Raw genomic sequence first — 23762 nt, forward strand, 5'->3', positions numbered from 1 at the left:
TACTAAAAATCCAAAAATTAGCTGGGTGTGATGGCGCACACCTGTAGTCCCAGCTACTCAAGAGTCTGAGGCAGGAGAATTGCTTGAACCCGGGAGGCGGAGGTTGCAGTGAGCCGAGATCGCACCACTGCTATCCCGCCTAGTGACAGAGCGAGACTCCATCTCAAAAACAAACAAACAAAAAACACACATTTATCATTTGGTAGTTTCTGTAGGTCAGAGGTCCAAGTAGGTTCCACTAGGTCTCCTGCTATCAAGGCCTATCAAGGCTGAAATCAAGACGTTGGCAGGGTGCATTTCTTACTGAATGCCTTGGGGTGGAACTTGCTTGCAAGCCCATTTATGCTGTTGGCCATATTCAGTTCCTTGAGCTTGTAGGACTGAGGTGCCCTCTTTCCTTACTGGCTGTTAGCCAGGAGTCAGTCTTTGTTCCCAGAAGCTGCCCGAATTCCTTCTCATGCTTTTTATGTGTCTCCCTCCAGCGAGGGCCAGTTCTTCTGCCACATCTCTCTGATTTCAGCTAGAGAAAATATCCTGCTTTTCAGGGCTCAGATTAGATTTAGTGCACACAGAGAAGCCAGGATAATCTCTTTATTTTAAAGTTTGTAATTTTAATTACATCTGCAGAATTCCTTTTGACATGTAATGTAGCATATTCACAAGTTCTAGGGATTAGGCACGAGATGGGCATTCTCCTACCACAGCCGGGAAGAGCAGTTTCAGAGGTTGCCTTCCCTAGGTGATGTGGGTGTTCTCAGTTCTCAAATTTGTCTGTTTTCTCTCTAGGGTTCACTTTCTCTCTAGGGTTCACGTTGAAAGTCGTGATTCTTGGTGCCTTGATTTATTGTGCTCATAGGGTTAAAAAAAGATTTGCATTAGAATTCTAGACATACCTTTAACTCTTAACTTCCTCCCATGTTTTTACACTGTTGTTTAAATTTGGCCATTTTGGGAAATGCTTTATACCCAAGTAATTTATAGTTGATGAAGGGATAGAGAAAGTGTCTTGCTTGTGGCACCGTGACTCACACCTGTAATCCCAGCACCCTGGGAGGCTGAGATCTGGGACTACTTGAGTCCAGGAGTTTGAGACCAGCCTAGGTAACATAAACAAATACAACAATCAGCTGGGTGTGGTGGCGTGCACTCGTAGTCCCAGCTACTCTGGAGGCTGAGGTGGGGGGATCGCTTGAGCCTGGGAGGTCGAGGCTGCAGTGAGCTACGTTCACACCACTGCACTCCAACCTGGGCCACAGAGCAAGACCCTTCTCAAAAAAAGAAAAAAAAAAAGCATTCTGAGTTTTGACAGAGAAGAAAACATTTGATGGTTACTTATCTGTCTCTACCAAGAGCCTAGGGAACAATGCCCCAGAGCATGAGCTGGTATATAGTCTAGTCTCCTGGCTCCCACTGAGAAAAAGGGATTTTGAGTTGAGGCTGGCTATGACTAGACAGCCATTGCAGGGACTCTCCAGTTCAGCCTCTTAGCCCTCCACTGCCTCCACCTCATCTGGGCCCATTCTGGGCTGTGGTCTCCTGCTCTCTTCCCAGTCCCATCCTTCTTCCCCCAACAGCACAAGTGAGGGTGAGGCCTAAAGTGTAGCCACTGCCCTGCTGCAGAACAATCAGTGACTTTTCTTAGCATTAGAATAAAACTCCAGATGTCCCACCCTCCCAGCCCCTCACCCTGACCTGGTATAGTCATCTCTTCTCCTACCCCCACCGTGTTCTGACCTCTCTGGTCTTTCAGCTTCTTGAACATTCTAAGCTTTTTTTTTTTTTTTTTGGAGACAAGATCTTGCTCTGTGGCCCAGGTTAGAGTGCAGTGGTACGATGATAGCTCACTGCAGCCTTGACCTCCCAGGGTCAAACGATCCTCCCACTGTAGCCTTCTGAGTAGCTGGGACTACAGGCACACACCACCACGCCTGACTGATTTTTATATTTTTTGTAGAGATGAGGTTTCACCATGTTGCCCAGACTGGTCTTGAACTCCTGGGTTCAGATGATCCTCCCTACTAGCCTTCCAAAGCACTGGGATTACAGATGTGAGCTACTATGCCTGGCCCCTGAGCTCTTTCTTTTTAACCAATTTATTATCAAGTGTTTAAGGTATTGAAAAATGAGTAGACTCCTCCCCACCACTGTATTCATGACTAGCTCCTTCTTTTAGGTGTCTGCTCAGTATCAGATACTCAGAGGATCCTTCCCTGCTTGATCTAAAGTTGGTCACCGCCTCTGATATGTTTTATCTCAGCCCTTTTTAGTTTCCCATAGGACCTCATACCTATGAAGCTTGGTACCTGGTATACAAAACACTTGTTGAGGAGTGGAATAGTATTTTCTTGGGGGCTGTGTGAGTCACCTCTTTTTTTTTTTTTTTTTTTTTTGAGGTGGAGTCTCGCTCTGTTGCCCAGGCTGGAGTGCAGTGTCACAATCTCAGCTCACTGCAAGCTCCGCCTCCCAGGTTCACGCCATTCTCCTGCCTCAGCCTCCTGAGTAGCTGGGACTACAGGCGCCCGCCACCACGCCCAGCTAATTTTTTTTTTTTTTGAGACAGAGTCTCACTCTGGAGTGCAATGGTGTGATCTCGGTTCCTTCAACCTCTGCCTCCCGGGTTCAAGCGATTCTCCTGCCTCAGCCTCCCGAATAGCTGGGGTTACAGGCATGCGCCACCAGGCCCAGCTAATTTTTGTATTTTTAGTAGAGACGGGGTTTCACCATGTTGGTCAGGCTGGTCTCGAACTCCTGACCTCGTGATCCACCCGCCTCGGCCTCCCAAAGTGCTGAGATTACAGACATGAGCCACCACGCCCGGCCGGGTCACCTCTTGTATTACAGTGGTATTCTTTATTTTTTTATTTTTTTAAGAGACAGGGTCTTGCTTTGTCACTTGGGCTGGAGTGCAGTTGGTATGATCATAGCTCACTGCAGCCTCAAACTCCTGGACTCAAGTGATTCTCCAGTGCAGTGGTATTCTTTACCTGAACCAGTGTACATTGTGAAGCTCTGGAGCCCCTGCTTTCTCCACTTGTTACACTTGTTAGCCTTTCTTTTTCTTTCTTTTTTTTTTTTTTTGAGACGGAGTCTCGCCCTGTGGCCCAGGCTGGAGTGCATTGGTGCGATCTCAGCTCACTGCAACCTCTGCCTCCCGGGTTCAAGCAGTTCTCTGCCTCAGCCTCCAGAGTAGCTGGGATTACAGGCACCCGCCACCACTCCTGGCTAATTTTTGTATTTTTAGTAGAGACGGGGTTTCACCATCTTGGTCAGGCTGGTCTTGAACTCCCAACCTCATGACCCACCTGCCTCGGCCTCCCAAAGTGTTGGGATTACAGGCGTGAGCCACTGCACCTGGCCTAGCCTTTCTTAATCGTGTCCCTCATCAATGAAATGGTAGAAAGCCAATCTGTTTTACAGGTGTGGTAGAAGGGAAAAATGAAGAGACCTCTGTACAAGCCTTTGCAGAGGTCTTGGGACTCAGTGGTGAGCTCCCTGCCACCACCTCCTGTGCCCTTGCAGGAGTAGGAGATCTATAGTCTTGGAGAATAAGGGTGATACCCCAATACCCCAAGCCTGGTTAGGGAAATTGATGACCCTTATTGGAGCCTGTGGGGAGGTAGTTGGGAAATTGTTAGTAGCTTCATGTTGGCATTTTCTTTTTTGAAACAGAATCTTGCTCTCTCCTCCAGGTTGGAGTGCAGTGGCATGATCTTGGCCCACTGCAACCTCTGGCTCCCAGGCTTAAGCGATCCTCCCACCTCAGCATTCCCAAGTAGCTGGTACTACAGACGCATGCCACCAGGCCCAGCTAATTTTTGTATTTTGTGTAAGAGACAGGGTTTCACCATGTCTCCCAGGCTGGTCTTGATCTCCTGGGCTCAAGTGATCCACCTGCCTCAGCCTCCCAAAGGGCTAGGATTACAGGTGTGAGCCACCGTGCTTGCCTTTGTTGACTCTTTATTGAACATCTACTCTCCCTGCAGAAACTGCAGGATAAGCCACCCTTAGAACCAATTTAACTGGCCTTTTTGGGGCTTGGACCTTCCTCATGGGATTGCTGGGTTAATGTTGAGCCTGTCTCTGGGCTATAGGCTCTCAGAGAACAAGAGTGCATCTGCAATGACTAGTGCTGCACCTGTCATACAGGTTTGTAGAAAATATTTAAGCTGTGAATGAACAAAAGGACCTTATCAGCTATTTTCTTTCAATTCTTTTTGGTTTTTCTGTGATCCTATTCTTGAGACTTTTATCCCTCCCACCCCTCTGTACAGCAGATTGCACATATAAAGATGAAATAAATAGATGTCCATTGGGCAAAACAATACAGAGAGGAGGTGACACAGCTGGGGAAGGACAGTCCAGTATCTGATGAAGTGCCAGAAGGGGCTTAGGGGGAGCATGGAATGGAGCTGGAACTGCCAGGTCAGCCACCTCTTCTAGTGAAGCCTCCAGAGAGACGTGAGCTCCAAGTAAGACAACACAAGGAACAAAACATACAACTGAACAGCAACTTCCAAGGGTCTGGAGAGGTCTTCAGAAGGATAGGGAGTGCCCTTAAACTTGCAAGCCCAGATTCTGCCTGTGGGTCATGGTCGTGCCATAGGCAGAAGCCAGTGAGTCAGCCTTGGCGGAGCTTTTTCTGTGGCTTTTCCCACTCACAGCTCTGTGCCCTTCTGGTGCAGCTCCAGCCCTTGTTTTCCAGCTTCATAGCCTGGTTGTCACATAAATGGCTGCACTGGCTTACAGGTGTCTGTGTATAACCTATTGCTAGAATGTCCATTCCTTGAGGCTAGGGGCCCTGTCTGTCCCTCTCTTCACTTTCATAGCCCCAGTGCCCCATAGGGCTGCTCCTGATGGGCAAATAGGAAGTGGTTGTTGAGCCTCTAGGCCAGTCGTGACAGTGACCTGAGGGGACTTGAGCCCTCAGTCATCTGCTCAGGAGTTCAGGGCTTTCTCAACAGCAGCTGACGTGCGGCAGGCATGCTATGCCAAGCCCTGTTGCAGGAGTTGACAGATGTTGACTCATCCCCTCTTCATGCTTTCTTTGTCAGTAGATGTACATGTTACTCACATTTATAAGATGAGGAAAATGAGACCTAGAGGAGAGGCCACTGCTGCTTAGAGTTACTCTACATGTTGTAAATCAGGGGTGTCCAGTCTTTTGGCTTCCCTGGGCCATGTAGGAAGAAGAATTGTTTTGGGCCACACATAAGATACACTAACACTAATGATAGCTGACGAGCTAAAAAAAAAAAATTGCCAAAAAATCTCATAATAAAGTTTACGAAGGCTGGGCGTAGTGGCTCACGCCTATAATCCTAGCACTTTGGGAGGCTAAGGTGGGTGGATTGCTTGAGGTCAGGAGTTTGAGACCAGTCTGGGCAACATGGTGAAACCCCATTTCTACTAAAAATACAAAAATTAGCTGGGCATGGTGGCGGGCACCTGTAGTCCCGGTGGGGAGGCTGAGGCAGGAGAATCGCTTAAACCCGGGAGGCAGAGGTTGCAATGAGCCAAGGTCGCGCCACTGCACTCCAGCCTGGCGACAGAGTGAGACTCAGTCTCAAAAAAAAAAAATATATAGACCAACCTGGCCAAGATAATAAAACCTCGTCTCTACTAAAAATACAAAAATTAGCCAGGCATAGTGGTGCACACCTGTAGTCCCAGCTACTTGGGAGGCTGAGGTAGGAGAATCGCTTGAACCTGAGAGGCGGAGGTTGCAGTGAGTCAAGATCACGCCACTTCACTCTAGCCGGTGACAGAGCAAGACTCTGTCTCAAAACAAACAAAAAAAATTAAAAATAAATAAGTAGGTTGGGCGCGGTGGCTCACACCTGTAATCCCAGCACTTTGGGAGGCTGAGGCGGGCGGATCACCTGAGGTCAGGAGTTCTAGACCAGCCTCAACATGGAGAAACCCTGTCTCTACTAAAAATACAAAATTAGCTGGGCATGGTGGTACATGCCTGTAATCCCAGCTACTCAGGAGGCTGAGGCAGGAGAATTGCTTGAACCTGGGAGGCGGAGGTTGCAGTGAGCCGAGATCACGCCATTGCACTCCAGCCTGGGCAACAAGAGCGAAACTCCGTCTCAATAAATAATAATAATAATAATAATAATAAATAAGTAAATAAATGAATGGTTGCTGAACCACAGCAGGACAAGACAGACAAACCCCTTTTATTTGTTTTTGTTTTTTGGACCCTAACAGCAGAGGAAGAGCCAGCCAGCAAGCCCCTTTTGATCTTTGGCCTCTGCCAACCAGTACCCCCCAGACCTTAACCCCCAGCCCTACCAGGTCCCTTTTGTAAGTGACCCCACATGCCTACCACAGTTGCAGGCCCTGACATCCACCCTGACCAGAGGTCTTCCAGCTATTACTGGTGTTTGTGATGCTGTGGCTGTGGCCAGTCAAGGACCCATGCTGGGCATCCCGAGGTAGGAAGGACCATGACCACGTGATTATCTCCCTGCCACTATCATGGCAGGGCTGTGGGGTACTAGCCTCCTTTAAAGCATTCCTTAGGACAGTAATTTCTGTTAAATATCTGGAGGGCAAACATTTTAAGGAATTTTAATGAATTTTTAAAAATTCAAAATGAAAAATTTAAATCATAAAACCAAATAGAAGAAAGACCCCTATGTCCATATACGCACCACTCTGCTTCAGTGATTATCAACTCTTGTCTCATGTACTTGACCTCCACACAATTATTATTACTATTTTTTGAGAAAGGGTCTTGTTATGTTGCCCAGGCTGGAGTGCAGCAGTACAATCATAGCTCACTGCAGCCAACTCCTGGGCTTAAGTGATCTTCCTGCCTTAGCTTCCCAAGTAGCTGGGACTAAGGGTAGGCGCCACCATGCTGGCTAATTTTCTTATTTTTTTTTTTTTTGGTAGAGACCAGGTCTTGGTTTGTTGCCCAGGCTGGTCTTGAACTCTTGGCCTCAAGTGAGCCTCCTGCCTTTGCCTCCCAAAGTGTTGGATTACAGGCATGAGCCACTACGCCTGGCCATCCCCAGTTATTTTGATGCCCAGACTGTTTTAGTGGCTGCCCACTGTCTGTGGATTCTGTTCTTAGTCTTGATCCTTCGTGCAGTGTCTGCACCTGCCTGCCAGTTCCTTGACCTGTGCTCCATCATACCAAGCTGGCAGTGGATCCTCAGACAATCTCAGTTCTTACTCCCTGCTCTGTGTCCAGTTTGTTTGCCTACCTAAAAGATCCTTCCTTTTCGTGGCTGAGCAGTGCAGCCGTTCTCCAAGGAGACTGGGCCTTCTGCTGCCCCCACCACCCTGCTCTTTTCACTGCCCCCACCCCGCTGCTCTTTTCACAGGCTTGGTGAGGAGTTTCCAGGTTGCACTTGGTTTGTTTGAAGGCTTATCTCCTCCTAGTCTGAACTCGTCAGGGCAGGAGCTTGAATCAATCATTTCCTGCCTCTCAGGACTGCTGTAGCAGGGGGATTCCTAGATCTGTCCAGTGCCAGTTTCCTGAGTACTGCTGCAGGCCCATTTCAGCTGCTATGGTGATGGGGGCTGTCCTGAGGGGACATTCACCTCAGGTAGAGATGGCAGAAACACCACAGGAAGATGCAACCAGTCAGCTCAGCTGGGGGCACTTAAATTAGATCCATTTTTTTTCTGGAAGGCCTTTTGGCAATACTGTTTATCCCAGTACCTTAAAAATGTCGATTTCCTCCAAGGGCGCAATCAGGAAAGTATTCAAAGCCTGATGGTGATGAGGGTGCTCATTGCCGCATCATTGTCTCAGGAGTGGGATTTGTGAAACAGACCAACAGTGGGAGCTTGGTTAGAGTTGTAGCTGCAGGTGATGGGCTCTGTGCTGCTGTTGACATTGACGTGAGGGACTGCCATAATGCGTCAACATCGACAAGCGCTTGTTACCAAGCAGGATGCGTGGTACAGGCTGAGTTTTATTAAACAGATGTCTTTAACTGGTATGAATGATTTTAATTTTTTCTTTGTTTGAGATGGAGTCTCGCCCTGTCGCCCAGGCTTGCGTGCCTGGTGACTTCTCTCACCTGGGCCCTCAATGCCAGACCAGCCTTCCCAGGATGATTCCATCCTTTCCATCCCTGCAAGGGAGCTTGAGGCCCTTTCCCTTTCAGTTTGATACTGTCCTTCCAAGTTACCTTTCTTCATGTTGGCACGAGAGCTTTGTGCCACACCATGCCCTTTCTGGATGCTGTAGTGTCTGGCTCTTCCTCTGTCTCTGTGACCCTCTTCCCTGGTGAAGCTTTGACCTTGGCTTCATCCCCTCCAGATGACCCCTGATGGTTAGCTCAGCCTGTGGTGGCTCCAGAGCCCTCATTGAGTGCATCCTGACACGAACTGAACAGATTAACTATTTTTTGCCTTGCCAACAGCATTGGAAATTCCTTGAGTGTGGGACCTGGACTCATAGCTCTATGTCTCTTATAGTTCTTAGCACAATATCTTGGCCTAGATGAAGTACATAATAATTATATGTAGGGTTGTGGAAAGCAGTGCTGGCTTTAATTAAAGCCTGCCATGGTTTTGTCCATCAGTGCTGCCTAAACCGTTCTGAACTTCTCATTTTGAACTTTTTTCCCTCACAGCTTGTGATGGTTGATTTTCTTTTTGAGACATTCATTTATTTGTTTGTTTATTTGGCAGGGTCTCACTCTGTCACTCAGGCTGAAGTGCAGTGGCGTGATTGTGGCTCACTGCAACCTCCACCTCCTGGGCTCAAGCGATCCTCCCACGTCAGCCTCCCAAGTAGCTGGGACCACAGGTGTGTGCCTCCATGCCCGGCTAATTTGTGTAATTTTTTGTAGAGTAAGGGTTTTGCCATGTTGTCCAGGCTGGTCTCCAACTCCTGGGCTCAAGCGATCTGCTGCCTCCGCCTCCCAAAGTGCTGGGATTACAGGTGTGAGCCACTGTGCCTGGCCCTGAGACATTTATTTAAAGACAAAGGGGAGTACAGGCTAGAGAACAGAGGGGAATAGAATAGCAGCCAAGGCATAATTACCTCTAAACCATCACCCCATAAGGGAGATGTTCGCCTCAACTTTAGTAATGACTCTCTTTCTAGTCTAGGTGCAGGGCTGTTAATAGAGGCCCTGTGATTGGGTTAAGGGCTTGAGGTACAATAACTCTGTTATTTAGGGCAGTGAGTCCTTGGAGAAGATGCTTTACCTTCTTTCCAAGCCCCATGTCTCCTTATTTTGAGGGTGTTTTTTTTTTTTTTTCTTGAGACAGTCTTGCTCTGTTGCCCAGGCTGGAGTGCAGTGGCCTGACCTCGGCTCACTGGCCTGACCTTGGCTCACTGCAACCTCCGCCTTCCGAGTTCAAGTGATTCTTGTGCCTCAGCCTTCTGAGTGGCTGGGATTACAGGCCTGCACCACCACACCTGGCTAATTTTTGTATTTTTATTAGAGATGGGGCTTCACCATATTGGCCAAGCTGGTCTCAAACTTCTGACCTCAGGTGATCTGCCTGCCGCATCCTCCCACAGTGCTGGGATTACAGGCGTGAGCCATTGCATCCGGCCTGAGGTTTTTATTTTGAGAATATTTCAAATGTACAGAGAGTTGCAAGGACAGTAAAAGCACTCAGGCATCCTCTTCCCTGGGATTCACCAGCTCATTCTCACTTTTACCATCTTCCCATACTCCCTGGGGGCCTCCTCCTTCTGGGCTTCGTTTCCTTTTATTTGTTTCTGTCTTTTTAATTTTAATTTTTTTTTAACTAGCCCTTCTCTTTGGCAGGATTTGTTCACTTTTAATCCTTGGCCCCAGCAGCTTCTCTGAGCTCTGCCTATGAATCTGGGGGAGAGATAGGGGCTCACACAAGAGTGAAGTGTGAGCTGGAGGGCTGAAGGGGAATGAGGGACATCTGGGCCAAAGGCAGGGGACCAGCAAGGCCCCCACCCCTGGAACTTCTGTTCTTCCCAGCCTACGTACCCCTTGCTTCTTCTTATGTTGGTGGGCTCTGGGGGCTGGGTGAAAGCAGTGCTTGTAGGTTAAGAAGTGACTCATCCCACGTGCCCGCTGCCCTTCTCTTCTGTTCTTTGCTCTTTCCAAGCTTCCTTTCAGTCCTCCTCATCAGACATGACCTTTGAGGAAGTGATGAGTCTGCTATGTGTGAGACAGAGCCCCTGTTGTGAAGTAGAACTCAGGGTTCGTCCTCAGAAGCCTCGGTGGGTCACCATACGTCCTGCAAGTGCTGTCAGTCTGCTTTGATTCGTGTGAGGGAGAAGTCCCTGCCAAGTGCTCTGTAGTAGGCATTCAGGCCAACCAAAGAACAGGGCAGGGTCCTGAGGCACAGGCTCAGAGCTCTTGCTTATTTCATGGGGTGTTTAAATTGAGGTATAATCCCTATCACAGTGAACGACACGCATACTTCCAATCTTGAGTGTGCCACCAGAGAACTGTTGATACTCCCCAGATCTGCACCCAGCCAGGGCAAACTGTGCACCACTCTTCTGACTTCCATGGCCAGCCGAGACATTTGGAATCTCTGTGCAATCACACTCTGTGCCATCTTTTTTTCGAGACAGGGTCTCGCCCTGTTGCCCAGGGTAGAGTGCAGTGGTACAATCTCGGCTAACTGCAGTCTCGACCTCCTGTGGGCTCAAGCAATCTTCCCACCTCAGCCTCCCAAGTAGCTGGTACTACAGGTGCTCACCACCATGCCCTGCTAATTTTTGTGTTTTTTGTAGAGATGGGGTTTTGCCATGTTTCCCAGGCTGGTCTCGAACTCCTGGGCTCAAGCAATCCACCTGCTTCAGCCTCCCAGAGTGCTGGGATTACAGTCCTCTGTGCAATTGTGTGCATCATGTGTGAAATTTATCCTCATTTATCCTCACAGGCAGCAGTTGTTCTATTTTTTTTTTTTTTTTTTTTTTTTTTGAGATGGAGTCTCACTCTGTTACCCAGGCTGGAGTGCAGTAGCACAATCTTGGCTCCCTGCAACCTCTGCCTCCTAGGTTCCGGCAGTTCTCCTGCCTCAGCCTCCCGATTAGCTGGGATTACAGGCACGTACCACCATGCCTAGCTAATTTTTATATTTTTAGTAGAGACTGGGTTTTGCCATGTTGGCCAGGCTGGTCTCGAACTCCTGACCTCAGGGGATCCACCCACCTCGGCCTCCCAAAGTGCTGGGATTACAGGCATGAGCCACCATGCCCAGCCTGTGTTTTTGTTTTTTTTGAGACTGAGTCTCACTCTGTCGCCTAGGCTGGAGTACAGTGGCGTGATCTTGGCTCACTGCAAGCTCTGCCTCCCGGGTTCACACCATTCTCCTGAGTAGCTGGGACTACAGGCGCCCATCACCACACCCGGCTAATTTTTTTTTTTTTTTTGTATTTTTTTTAGTAGAGATGGGGTTTCACCATGTTAGCCAGGATGGTCTCCATCTCCTGACCCCGTGATCCCCCTACCTCGGCCTCCCAAAATGCTGGGATTACAGGCGTGAGCCACTGCGCCTGGCCTTATTTATTTATTTATTTATTTATTTATTTATTTATTTATGTATTTCTGAGACAGAGTCTTTCTCTGTTGCCTAGGCTGGAGTGTGGTGGCTCAATCTCACCTCACTGCAGCCTCTGCCTCCAGGGTTCACATGATTCTCCCACCTCGGCCTCCAGAGTAGCTGGGACTACAGGCGTGCACCACCATGCCTGGCTAATTTTTGTATTTTTAGTAGAGATGGGGTTTCGCCATGTTGGGCAGGCTGGTGTTGAACTCCTGACCTGACCTCAGGTGATCCACCCGCCTTGGCCTCCCAAAATACTGGGATTATAGGCGTGAGCCACCGTGACCAGCCTGTTCTTGTTTATGACGTGTTATTCCATGGAGGACTCTGTTCCAGATAACTCTTTTATTTTGTGCCTAATGAACTTTGGTGTTAGTTCCAGATGTTGGCTACATGAAGGCAACCCCAGGAATGGCTTTGGTCATGTCTTCTGGTAAATATATGCACTTAATTCTCTGGGCTGTGCACCTAGAAGTTAAATAAAGGACTGGGTCAGAGGATGTGTCTCTTAGCATGTTCTGCTGAACAGTGTTCCCAAGTGGTACCAGTTTACGTTCCCACCAGCAAAATGTGAGGGAGTTCCACTTGCTGGACATCCTTGCCAACACCTGGTATTGTCAAGGAACCTGTCTGTAACAGGCACTCTCGTTGATTTTGAATGCACGCTGAAATTTACTGGGTGCAGTGACAGTAGGAAGGGAAAGGATGATTAAAAAAAGAAAAAAGGAATGGAAAGGCTGATCTAGGAGGGAGGAAGCTCATAAGGAAATAAGTGGTAGGATTTGGTGATTCCATGTGTGAATGCTCGTATTCCGTGTGCATGCGTATATGAGCTTGCAGGAGAAAGGGAGGAGGGAGGCACTGGTATGCACTCCACCAGTTCTCCTGCCACAGCCTCTCTACTGATCTGAGGGCTGGGTGTAAGGTGATGATGTGGGGAGTGGGTGTGGGTGAAATTTCCAACAGTCAGTGGGAGATGGGGGAAGCAAACCTGGGAAGAGCAGCCTGCTGCAGGAGCAAGTGGGTGGGCCGTCCTGGAGGCTGGATGAAACCTGTCTGCCTAGGTGGGGATGGCAGAAGTGGCAGAGCAGAGAACTCCAGAGCAGGGCTGTGGTGGGCAGAGCAGATGTGAAGGAAGACTGTGGGATGAGAGGATGGGGCACGGTGGAGCCCCATCAGCCTCCAGTCACAGCAGCCCCGGTCCCGTCTCTCCCTCCTGTTTTGGTCAGTACCTTCAGGACTTGTGGGTGTAGTACTTCGTTCCATTCCGGATAACATTGTAGAAGACTGAAAAACAGGAAGGTGTTTTCCATACTCTCTCCAGAGCTGGCTGTTACTGACATATTGATATATTTCCACCAGTCTTGTGTGTGCTTATAGCTTGATATGTATGCATTTTAAATATGTAAATATATATACACATGTATTTTTAAAGTGAAACTAGGCTGAGACTGTGAGTTCAGTTTTGAGTTATAGGTTTCCCATGGCTTAGGTTGTGTTCTCTCCCTGGATGGAGTCTGGCTGGGACCTGCATGCTCACAGCCCAGGTTCACATGAGGTGTGGATCATGCACAATCATCCCACGGGCTTGAGATAAGCATTTGACTTCCTTTTTTTTTAAAAAAAAAGTTCATTATGGACTTTTTCAAGTGTTCCCAGAAGTAGAGATAATAGAAAAGTGGTCTCCCAACTACTTTGAGAGTTAGCAACATATGGCCAGTGTTGCTTCACCCACCCTTCCTCATCACCTCCTGGACTATTTTAAATCACATCCCAGACACCAGATGATTTCAACTGTGAGTACTTGAGTGCAGATCTCTAAAAGATCGAGCTTCCCCACCCCCACCAAATACCACAGAGCCATGTGAGATCAGCATTTGGGTTGGCAGATCTCCTCCTTGCCACATGCTTGCCTGGTGGTGAATGGGACACTTTCAGGCGAGACCTAGGGGAGCCCCAGGCCAGCACCAGGACAGAGATCTCGAGGCCTTTCCAACTCTGCTGGTTCTTCAGAAGTCAAACCAACAGATTGGAGTATGTGAAGGAAGCTCGTGTATTCTTCTGAACTAGCTTAGACAACAGTACACAGTTTGAAGGGCAGCAGCCTTTTCTGCAGGTTAGTTCTTTCAATGATCTTGTTTACTGGGAGTTGAGAGACCTTGAGGATAGAGGCAAGAAAGCGTCATCAAGCAGCCCAGAGGGGTGTACAGTGTTTGAAGTCTCCTGTATTGGTATGATTCGAGATTTTCATTCTGCAGGACCAAAATACCCATTCCTACATGTGGGTGGAGAGTTAAATTCTGAAGTATATATTTTTATCTTGTTAAAAAAACACTTTTATGTTTCTTTAAAAAGTAAAAGAACCAGAATGTAGAAGTTTCAGTAAAGGAAAAAGTTACAGTTTGTTTGGGATACAGTTTGACAAATGTGCTCCCAGCTGCCTGAGAGATAGAGAGGCCAGATGTTTGCTTTGGTTACATTGATGACTGAACAATCGGTATCTCATCATTTCCTGCCTTAGAGATGAAAGCACCTGGGCACTGGGGCAGTAAATTGGTTGCAGGATTGGAAGAAGTCCAAGGACAGTGTGGGATGCCACCCTGTAGCTGTCTAGAGACCTAGTGAAGGTCAGAAGGCTGGGTGAGAACAAGCCCTGCACTGATGGAGGACAGGGAAGGGGCTTTTCTGGCTGGGAGTGTGGTGAGGCATTTGAGCTGCAGCCAGAAGGCACCTCTCAGATTGGTGGGGCTTGGGGTGGGGGTGGGAGGAACTGCTTTGCCTGTGCCGTTGGCCTCACTCATCCTGAGGTCCCTTCAAACTCCATCCATACTCTGACTGTGGGGCCACTTGCAGAAGGAATATGTGGCAGGTTTTTTTTGTTTTGTTTTGTTTTTTGTTTTGAGACGGAGTCTAGCTCTGTCACCCAGGCTGGAGTGCAGTGGCACGATCTCGGCTGACTGCAACCTCCGCCTCCCGGGTTCAGGCGATTCTCCTGCCTCAGCTTTTGGAGTCGCTGGGCTTACAGGCGCCTGCCACCATGCCCAGCTAACTTTTGTAATTTTAGTAGAGACGGGATTTAGTAGAGACGGGATTTCGAACTCCTGACCTCGTGATCCGCCTGCCTTGGCCTCCCAAAGTCCTGGGATTATAAGTGTGAGCCACTGTTCCCTGGCCTGTGGCAATTTTTTGAGACGCTCCTGGGGGTCCAAATTGCTAATAGAGGAGAAACTTACTGTCCCTGTGTTGACTGAGACAGGAAGGTTTAGATAGGTGAAAGTGGTCTGGGCGCAGTTGCTCACACCTATAATCCAGCACTTTGGGAGGCCAAGGTGGGAGAATCGCTTGATGCCAGGAGTTCAAGACTAGCTTGGGCAACATAGTGAGATCCTGTCTCTATAAAAAATAATTTTAAAAAATTAGCTAGGCCTGTAGTCCCAGCTACTCGGGAGACTGAGGAGGGAGGATTGCTTGAGCCTAGGAGTCGGAGGCTGCAGTGAGCTGATTGCGCCACCATACTCCACCCTGGGCAACACAGAGAGCCTGTCTCAAAAACAAAAGAAAGGTGAACATGAGTTTTTTTGTTTTTTTTTTGACATAGTTTTGCCCTGTCCCACAGGCGTGGGCCACCACGCCCAGCTAATTTTTGTATTTTTAGTGGAGATGGGGTTTCGCCATGTTGGCCAGGCTGGTCTTGAACTCCTGGCCTCTCAAGTGATCCACCCACCTCGGTCTCCCAAAGTTTTGGGATTACAGACATGAGCCATTGAGCCTGGCCAAACATGACCTTTCTCTTTTTTTTTTTTTTTTTTTTTTTGAGACGGAGTTTCACTCTTGTTGCCCAGGCTGGAGTACAGTGGCACGATCTCAGCTCACTGCAAACTCCACCTCCCGGGTTCAAGTGATTCTCCTGCCTCAGCCTCCTGAGTAGCAGAGATTACAGGCATGCACCACCACGCCTGGCTAATTTTGTATTTTTAGTAGAGACGGGGTTTCTCCATGTTGGTCAGGGTGGTCTCAAACTCCCCACCTCAGGTGATCCACCTATCTCAGCCTCCCGAAGTGTTGGGATTACAGGTGTGAGCCCCTGCACCCGGCCACGTGACCCTTCTTAATAGCTATTGTTCGCTGAGTATTTCTCTACGACACTCTTTATGTGCATTTTGTCATTTAATTTTAATTTTAATTTTCTTTTTTTTTTTGAGACAGGGTCTTACTCTTTCACCCAGGCTGTAGTGTAGTGGCACGATTTTGGCTCGCTGCAGCTTCCGCCTCCTGGGCTCAAGAAATCCTCCCACCTCAGCCCCCGAGTTTCTGGGACTACAGGCATGCACCACTATGACTGGCTAAGTTTTTGTATTTTTTGTAGAGATGGGGTTTCACTATATTGCCCAGGCCAATCTTGAATCTTGAATTCCTGGGCTCAAGCATGAGCCACCACACTCGGCCTCATTTAATTTTTAATTACTTTAAATTTTATCAACATAATATATCACATAAACTGTAAAAAGACAAGAAACTACTGTGGTTCCCATTCTGCCAGTTCTCCCCAGAGGTAGCAACTGCCTTTACATCTGAGCTTTCTTCCGGCATATACCTCTGATTCTAGGTAATAGGCACATGCTGCTTTTGCAACTTGGCGTTTTACAAATTATGTTGGCTTGCTCTGTAGCTCCCTTCCATCGCCATTATCTCTGCTTCTCCTCCCTCATTCTTCCAGTATTCTACTTTCTGCATAAATCGGTAATGAATGTTTACATTTTCTGCCTACACAAATGATATTCACAGCTGAGCATAGTGGTGTACTGCAATTGCTTGTTATTTTTTTCCTAGGAAAGAATTGCCTTTTCAACACTATGCCCAGTTTTCTGTGTATCTATTCTTATTCTTCCTTTATTTTCCGGTTGCCTCTCAGTACAGTTATCTTCAGGCTCAGTGCTAGTGAGCTGTCAGTTTCAGTTCAAACCCCTGGCCTCAAGTGATCCATCCACCTCGGCCTCCCAAAGGAGGTGGGCGGTGACCCTCTTGGACCTCCCTTCTGGAACCCTCTAGGCAGTGGCCGCAGGTGTGGTGTGACAGCCCTCAGCGTGCTTGTCTGCCCAGACTGGGACTGTTGTCTTCCTTTGTTGGGTCCCTTGTTTTCTATATCCTGTGTCTCATCCTTTGTGATTTATTCCCTCATTCTGCCAGCTTCCTGAGAAGGGACTCCTGGGAATTAACTTTCTGGAGACCATGCCAGTTTGAGTGCATCTAGGCCCCCTGGTGGGACATGCTAACTGGGGAATTTAAAATGATGTTACACTGCGCTGCCCTTGTGCTGGCTTGTGCTTCTGTCTCCTGAGGTGCTAGCTCTCAGCCTCATATGACTTGTCTTGATCCCTAAACCCAAGTCCTGCTCTACTTGGGAAGTTCCTTTGAGTCATTTCAGGGGAATCTCACTCCCTACACTTCCTGTGCTGGAGTGTTTAATGTTCACTCTTTGGGCCTCTAGTTTTATCTTTTATCTCCTGTTTTCTATCTCTTTTACTTTTAGCTCTCCTCTCTAAGTGATTTCCTCAATTTTTTCTTTGACCTTTCACTGCTAACATGCTTTTATTTCCAAGAACTCCTTCTTTTTCCTTTTTTGTAATCTGACTTTTCCCTTTTTATAGCACCCATTCCTGTTAAATGGATACAATGTAGTATAATATTTATATATATTATAATAAATTCTACCGTTTTTTTTGATAAATTTTCACTTTATTGCCCAGGCTGGAATGCAGTGATGTGTTCATGGCTCACTATGGCCTCGAACTCCTGGGCTCAAGTGATCCTCCCACCTCAGCCTCCCAAGTAGCTGGGACTGCAGGCATGCACCACCACTCCTGGCAAATATTTTTGTTTTTCGTAGAGATGGGATCTTGTGATGTTGCCCAGGCTGGTCTCAAACTCCTGACTTCAGCTGGACGCAGTGGCTCACACCTGTAATCCTAGCACTTTTGGGAGGCCGAGGGCAGGCGGATCACAAGGTCAGGAGTTCGAGACTAGCCTGGTCAATATGGTGAAACCCCATCTCTACTAAAAATCAAAAATTAGCTGGGCATGGTGGCGCGCGCCTGTAGTCCCAGCTACTCGGGAGGCTGAGGCAGAAGAATCACTTGAACGTGGGAGGCAGAGGTTGCAGTGAGCCGAGATCGTGCCACTGGACTCCAGCCTGGGCGACAGAGCTAGACTCCGTCTCAAAAAAAAAAAAAAAAAAAATCAAACTCCTGACCTCAAGTCATCCTCTCGCCTCAGCCTCTGAAAGTACTGAGATTACAGGTGCGAACCACTGCACCTGGCCTAATAAATTCTACATTTCCTTCTTCTTGCTGAATTTCTGTTACCGCTAAATTACTCTTTTCTTGTGGGGTCTTTATTGGCCATGTTATGGCGTCTGGCTGCCCTTGGCTGGTTGCTCACTCTGAGAGGGACCCTCCAAAGCCTAGGAGTCTCTTCCAGCACGTGGAGCTTGTCGACTGGGAACTTCATTGAAGGCTCATCTGGCTGCAGATTCTGAGTCCTTCCTCCAGAACAATGGTCCCCAACCTTTTTAGCACCAGGGACCGGTTTCACAGAAGACAATTTTTCTACAGACCGGCAGATGAGGATGGTTTCAGGATGAAATTGTTCCACCTCAGATCATCAGGCATTAGATTCTCATAAGGAGCATGCGACCTGGATCCCTCACATGCACAGTTTACAGTGGGGTTCGTGCTCCTATGAGAATCTGATGCCACCACTTATCTGACAGGAGGCAGAGCTCAGGCAGTAATGCTTGCACACCCTCTGCTCACCTACTGCTGTGAGGCCTGGTTCCTAACAGCCCACAGACCTGTACTGGTCTGTGGCCCAGGGCTTGGGGACCCTGCCCTAGAGCATGGTCTTCCAGACACTGGGCTGTGGGTGAAGACCTGGCTGCCAGCATGCTGCTCACTGCGATGGAGGAGGCTGATGGGCCAGTGGGTCTCGGCAGTTAGCGTGCATCGATCTAGTCACTTAGACCAGAGCACAGATGACCACACAACCCACCTCTCTCAGTGTCCTACCTGTGCCTTTTCAACTGGGTGGGTTGGCCCCCTAGTCCAGTGACTATCCGTTTCATGCTTTTCCAGAGAGTAAACCTCCTGTGGTCACCTGGTGCTGGAGTAGCTACCCACAGTGTAAAGTTGGGGAGTGAGGGATGCAGGGATATCTTTCACCCTCTGTCCCAGAGCACTTGGTGCAGCCTGGCCTCAACCTGGCAAAGACCTAGGGCTGTCACTGGGTGGGCGCACCCCCTCCTCACTGTTACTTAGGACTCTGGTTTCTTGGTCCTCTTGCTGTGTACGTTACCACTGGGCCATCAGCTTTCCAGCTTCTAAAAGGCTGTTGAGGCCACCATTTCCATTCTTCCTGGTTTTTTTTTCTGTGGTTTTAGTCAGGTTTTAAGATGGAAGGGAATTAAATGTGCAGGCTTTGTTCCTCATTTCAACTTGGAGGTTCATATCTGTTATTTATTTATTTATTTAGAGACAGAGTCTCACTCTGTTACCCAGGCTGGAGTGCAGTGGTGCTACCTTGGCTCACTGCAACCTCCACCTCCCTGGTTCAAGCGATTCTCTTGCCTCAGCTTCCCAAGTAGCTGGGATTATGGCCGCACACCACCATGCCCAGCTAATTTTTATATTTACGTATATATTTTTTTGAGACAGAGTTTTACTCTTGTCACCCAGGCTGGAGTGCAATGGCTTGATCTTGGCTCACTGCAACCTTCACCTCCCAGGTTCAAGTGATTCTCCTGCCTCGGCCTCCCGAGTAACTGGGATTATAATGCACGCCACCATGCCTGGCTAATTTTTGTATTTTTATTTTTTATTTTTGAGACAGAGTTTCACTCTTGTTGCTCAGGCTGGAGTGCAGTGGTGGGATCTTGGCTCATTGCAACCTTTGCCTCCCGGGTTCAAGCCATCCTCCTACCTCAGCCTCCCGAGTAGCTGGGATTGCAGCGCCCACCACCTTGCCCTTTTGTATTTTTAGTAGGGATGGGGTTTCACCATGTTGGCCAGTCTGGTCTCGAACTCCGGACCTCAGGTGATCCACCTGCCTTGGCCTCCCAAAGTGCTGGGATTACAGGCGTGAGCCACTGTGCTCAGCTAATTTTTGTATTTTTAGTAGAGACGTTTCACCATGTTGGCCAGGCTGGTCTCGAACTCCTGACCTCAAGTGATCCACCTACCTCCGCCTCCCAGAGTGCTGGGATTACAGGCGTGAACCACCACACCTAGTCCAAATCTTTTTTTTAATATGGGAAAATCTTTTTTCCTTTATAGTGTCTGCTTCTGGTGACATGCTTAGGAAACCATCATCCTGATATTGTATAACTCTCCTTCTGTTGTCTTGTGGTCCTCTGTGATTTAGGTTTTTAAACACATAGGGTAAAGGGTCCCACATACAAGCTGTGGGCTCCTGTCCCAGGTGGGCAAGCAGGCTGCACACACAGGCAGCAATTTACTGGGAGGCTTCTTGGGTGGGGTGAAGTGGAGCTGCCAAAAATTTATTCTGCCCTATGAGAGTTCACTTGATTGATAGATGTTGTGTTTCTCAAAATTAGAAAATTAGAAGAAACTCACAGAAGTTTCCTTCGAGCAGAACATAAATCGGCTGAGAGGAATCATCCTGCCCCCCTGAGGTCAGGAGGGTGAATCTGTGCCCCAGGGAGGAACGCACCTTCCTGCTTTAGACACCAGCAGAGGACAGAGAAGCTGGCTGTCCTGGGAATTCATGCCCTCATTCAGCAATGGGAAAGCAGTTGGACCAGGGAAGGGGGCCTGGCAGTGTGGCAGGGGGAGCAGTGGTAAAGAGGGTGGGGTCAGGGGAGAGGCCTCACTGAGAGGGGAGAGGGTCCTTGGTGGGAACCAGGGCGGTTGTGGAAGGAAGAGTCAGGGCGTGGAGCAGAGCAGAGCGGGAGTTGGGGTGGGGAGGCCAGTTCATGCCTCATCAACATGCCTGTGTGAGTGTCCTTCTTGCGGGCGGTGGAGCTGGCCTCAGGGTACACTGCAGGTGACTCAGAGCTCCAATGGGAGGGTGGCTCTGCCTGAGGGAGCTGCACATGCTCATTGGGCCATCGTCTGCTGAGGAGGGGGCAACAATAACCTCAACACATGGCGGAGGTGTTTTGGGATGCATCCTATTGCACATTTGGGCAGGTTGTTGCCTGACTTATTTCTTTAACGCATACCTAGCACTTCCTGTATGTCCAGTGCCTTATAATATTAACTACTATCATCCTCAGGGCTACCCGTGAGGTCGGCACTGTCCCCACCCTTTGTGCAAAGGAAGGATAGGGAGGCGCTGCCAGATGGGTTGAGGGCAGACCGGGGCAGCTTGCCTCAGGCCTCCCTGGCCTTAGCAGGCTTTAAGTTTGATGCCCTGTGCTCCTTCCCTAGGAAGCTCAGTTTGCCAGTTTTTTGCTTTATCTTAGTCTCATTCAGATTACAAGGACTGGGACTGGACTCCTGTTGCCAGTTTCTCAATTTGGAATAGGAAGGAGGTGAGGAACAACAGGCCCATGCTGGGCAGAAGCCCTGCAGACCAGGCCAACAGTGGGCCTCTCCTCACTGCCTGGCCCTGTCTGTGCACCTTCGTCCTGGCCACAGCCTCTCAGAGCCCCTCCTTTATGAAGAGGTTACGCTTTAGGGGAGGGAGTGCCTCTCCCAAGACCCAGAGCTGGTGAGTGGCTAGGTTGGAATTTGAGCCCAGGTCCCTCCTCCCCTGTCTGCTTCCTGCCAGGCCCAGCTGCCTGCCCCAGCACACGCCTTCTCCCAGGCACCCTGGCCTCCACTGCCAGGACGTGCCTGTTTGAGGCCTGGATTCCCCCATGGCTGCCACGCTGATTCTCCGTTCTGCACGTCGTGTCCCATCAAAATGCATGACAGTACCACTCCTTGTGTTAAAAAGAGCCAGTTATTGTGCCTGGCAGTGATGACTGCCCACTGCACACAAAAGTGGACGCCGTTGTCTCTGCTCTCAGGGTGTTCTTAGTATAGTGGGGCTGGCACACAGAAACCAGAGATTCCTCCAGGAAGTGCCACAGACATGGGTGAGGTGGCTACAGGGTTTCTGTGCAGCCGACAGCAGGGGTGCCTGGGTGGAAGCAGGGTGGGAGGCCCTAACAGGCCTGATGGGATAGTCAGGCAATGTGCCAGGTAGTAGGTCATCATCCCTGGGGCCCTGGGGAGAGTGTGTGGGGCAGGCGCAGGAGCAGGCTCCTCAGTGGGCTCCTGGACAGGCTGCCTGCTCTGCTGGTGAGGAGCGAGGCTCAAAGCAAGCAGGGGCCTGGGTTGCTTCCCACACTCAGTGGCAGTTGCTCACTGGCAGTCATGTGACCTGGGGAGCTGGCGAGGGCGTGGGGGTAGGAATGGGAACGGGAGACAGAGGCCCTTTGGGAGGAATTGCCACAGATGCAGTGGGAGTTGGGGCAAAGATTTGAACTTTGGAGAATTAAAGGTGGCAGTCAGAAAGTGAAGGGAGTTCCCAAGTTTCTGGGATGGGCACTTGGTGCTGGGAGATGAAGACACGAAGAGCTTTTCTTGATGTATCCCTGCTGGCTGCTCAGGCAGGGTCGGGCAATGCCATTAAGACACACTGTGTTCTGGGAACAGTTCTGGACAGTAAGGACATCCTCAGACCCCTTAGTGGGGGAGCTCCAAGGGCCTGTAATGATGAATCGGTCCCCTGGGAGGCTTCAGTCTAAGCTAGATACCAGTTGAACCCTGACTGAGTACACAGACATAGCTATGGCAACCAGCTAGACCATGGCCAAAGGCAGAGCATTGGAGCCCAGTTCACAGCAAGGGACTGTGTGCTCTGAGCCGGTAACAGTCCTTGTGTTCAGAGGTCTGGCTGGTCGCAACCAGGGAGTGGCCCCCAGCCCCCTTCCTCAGCTAGAGCGAGCACCACCCAGGCAGCCTTGGGTTCTTTGGTGGCCGCCTCATAGGCCTGTACTGTTTGTGAACCTGTTGCTTATGTTGGACAGGACTGTGGCAGGACAGCCATCAAGGGTCTTCCCTTGTGAGCTGACACCAGTCTGCTCTTTGTCCTCCTCTGGCTGGACAGGCCCTCGTCTTCCCGGCTTGCTTGTGTGGGGGAAGAGCTCACTGTGACATGTGGGTTCTCTGTTCTTTGTCTCAGGCTGTGCTCCTTACTCCATGTTGGGGGCTGTCTCCTTGTGTGATAGTTTCCTTTCATTTCGTGACAGTGGCTCGAAGGGTTTTGTTTTCAGGAGACAGAGACTGAGGAGTAGCCATTCGGGTCTGGCTGCTCAGGAAGGCATGCTGGGGATGGCAGCAGAGCCCAGCTCAGGGAGATCAGAAGGGGGCTTTGGGAGCAGCCAGTGCTGTTCTGAAGGTGGGCCTGGGTCCTGCCTGCAGCCTCCCGCAGCGGGTGTGTTAGGTCTAAGGGAGGAAGGAAGGGGACTTGACCTCAGCAGGAGTGTGAAATGGGTACCCTCCTGGAGTCAATGTCCAGGCAGGGGATGCCTCTGAAAAGCGCCAGGCCAGCTGGAGAGGAAAGGGCAGGCATCTGCAGGGAAGTGTGGGGGATTAGCTGCAGAGTTCCTGGGTTCTTTTTCGCTTTGTCTCTATTTTGTGACACTTGATCTTCAAACTAGAAACAGGAGCAAAGACATTTTCAAAAATACAGTTGTCAGAACTGCAAAACCACACAGGGTCTGTTACTGGCCACCAAACCTGCTGGGCCTCCCTGGGTGGATGCTGTGGGAGAGATGTGGGAGTGACATGGCACAGTGCTGCTGTTCTGAGCGGTAGCCTTGCTGGAGGAGCGCCTTGCCGGAGGAGCACCTTGCTCCTTGGCCCCACTCTGACCCTCCGAAGCTCATGTGGAACTGGACATTTACCCCAACTCGGTTTCCTGGTGTTGGCCTGTCAAGACTTGCCTGTTTCTGGCCTCCAGCTTGGTCCATGCTCCTCAGGCTCTGAGTAGCTGACGGTGCCCACAGTGTCCATGTCATCTGTGACATTACCCAGGACAGGACAGGGCCCGTCTGCCAGTACATCCCCTGGTGTATGGTGCCACCTTGCCTTCAGCTCACCAAGCATATTTCTTCAACCTGGTCATCCCACCACCTCAGAGCTATTGCACTAAGCTGTGTTTCTAGATCTTGTCTCTCTGACTGTGCCAGGTGTCTCTGCTGCACCAAGACAGTGTCTGTCTGGGGCCTGCCAGTC

The 23762-nt window shown here is 49.5% G+C and overlaps 1 protein-coding gene across 14 annotated transcripts in view, besides 3 other annotated features; it reads left to right on the forward strand.

The window, feature by feature from the left end:
- Positions 1-23762, forward strand: part of MED15 (mediator complex subunit 15) — an 80010-nt gene that overhangs the window by 2610 nt on the left and 53638 nt on the right. For 3 of the 14 annotated variants that reach the window (XM_047441395.1, XM_047441398.1, XM_047441401.1), the window contains exon 2: positions 8659-8776. The exons of 10 other annotated variants lie outside the window; for them this stretch is intronic. The gene's annotated coding sequence lies outside the window, so the exon portion shown is untranslated. Of the gene's footprint in view, positions 1-8658; positions 8777-13531; positions 14148-23762 lie in introns of those variants that run through there. One more of the 14 variants, XM_047441396.1, reaches the window with a different exon arrangement.
- Positions 7500-7549: an enhancer, noted in NCBI's record as "active region_18680". NCBI's record gives its function as "activates an Ori minimal core promoter by ATAC-STARR-seq in GM12878 lymphoblastoid cells {active_cell/tissue: GM12878}" and the evidence as "EXISTENCE:reporter gene assay evidence [ECO:0000049][PMID:35858748]".
- Positions 16520-16689: an enhancer, noted in NCBI's record as "experimental_62777 CRE fragment used in MPRA reporter constructs". NCBI's record gives its function as "activates a minimal promoter by MPRAs in K562 erythroleukemia cells, with activity observed for both the introgressed and non-introgressed 22:20881111 variant alleles {active_cell/tissue: K562}" and the evidence as "EXISTENCE:reporter gene assay evidence [ECO:0000049][PMID:34662402]".
- Positions 19941-20928: an enhancer, noted in NCBI's record as "H3K27ac-H3K4me1 hESC enhancer chr22:20884447-20885434 (GRCh37/hg19 assembly coordinates)". NCBI's record gives its function as "activates a minimal SCP1, AML or CMV promoter by ChIP-STARR-seq in primed H9 embryonic stem cells {active_cell/tissue: H9 hESC(primed)}" and the evidence as "EXISTENCE:reporter gene assay evidence [ECO:0000049][PMID:30033119]".

Source organism: Homo sapiens, chromosome 22 (genome assembly GCF_000001405.40).
Source record: "Homo sapiens chromosome 22, GRCh38.p14 Primary Assembly".
Taxonomy (NCBI): Eukaryota; Metazoa; Chordata; class Mammalia; order Primates; family Hominidae; genus Homo; species Homo sapiens.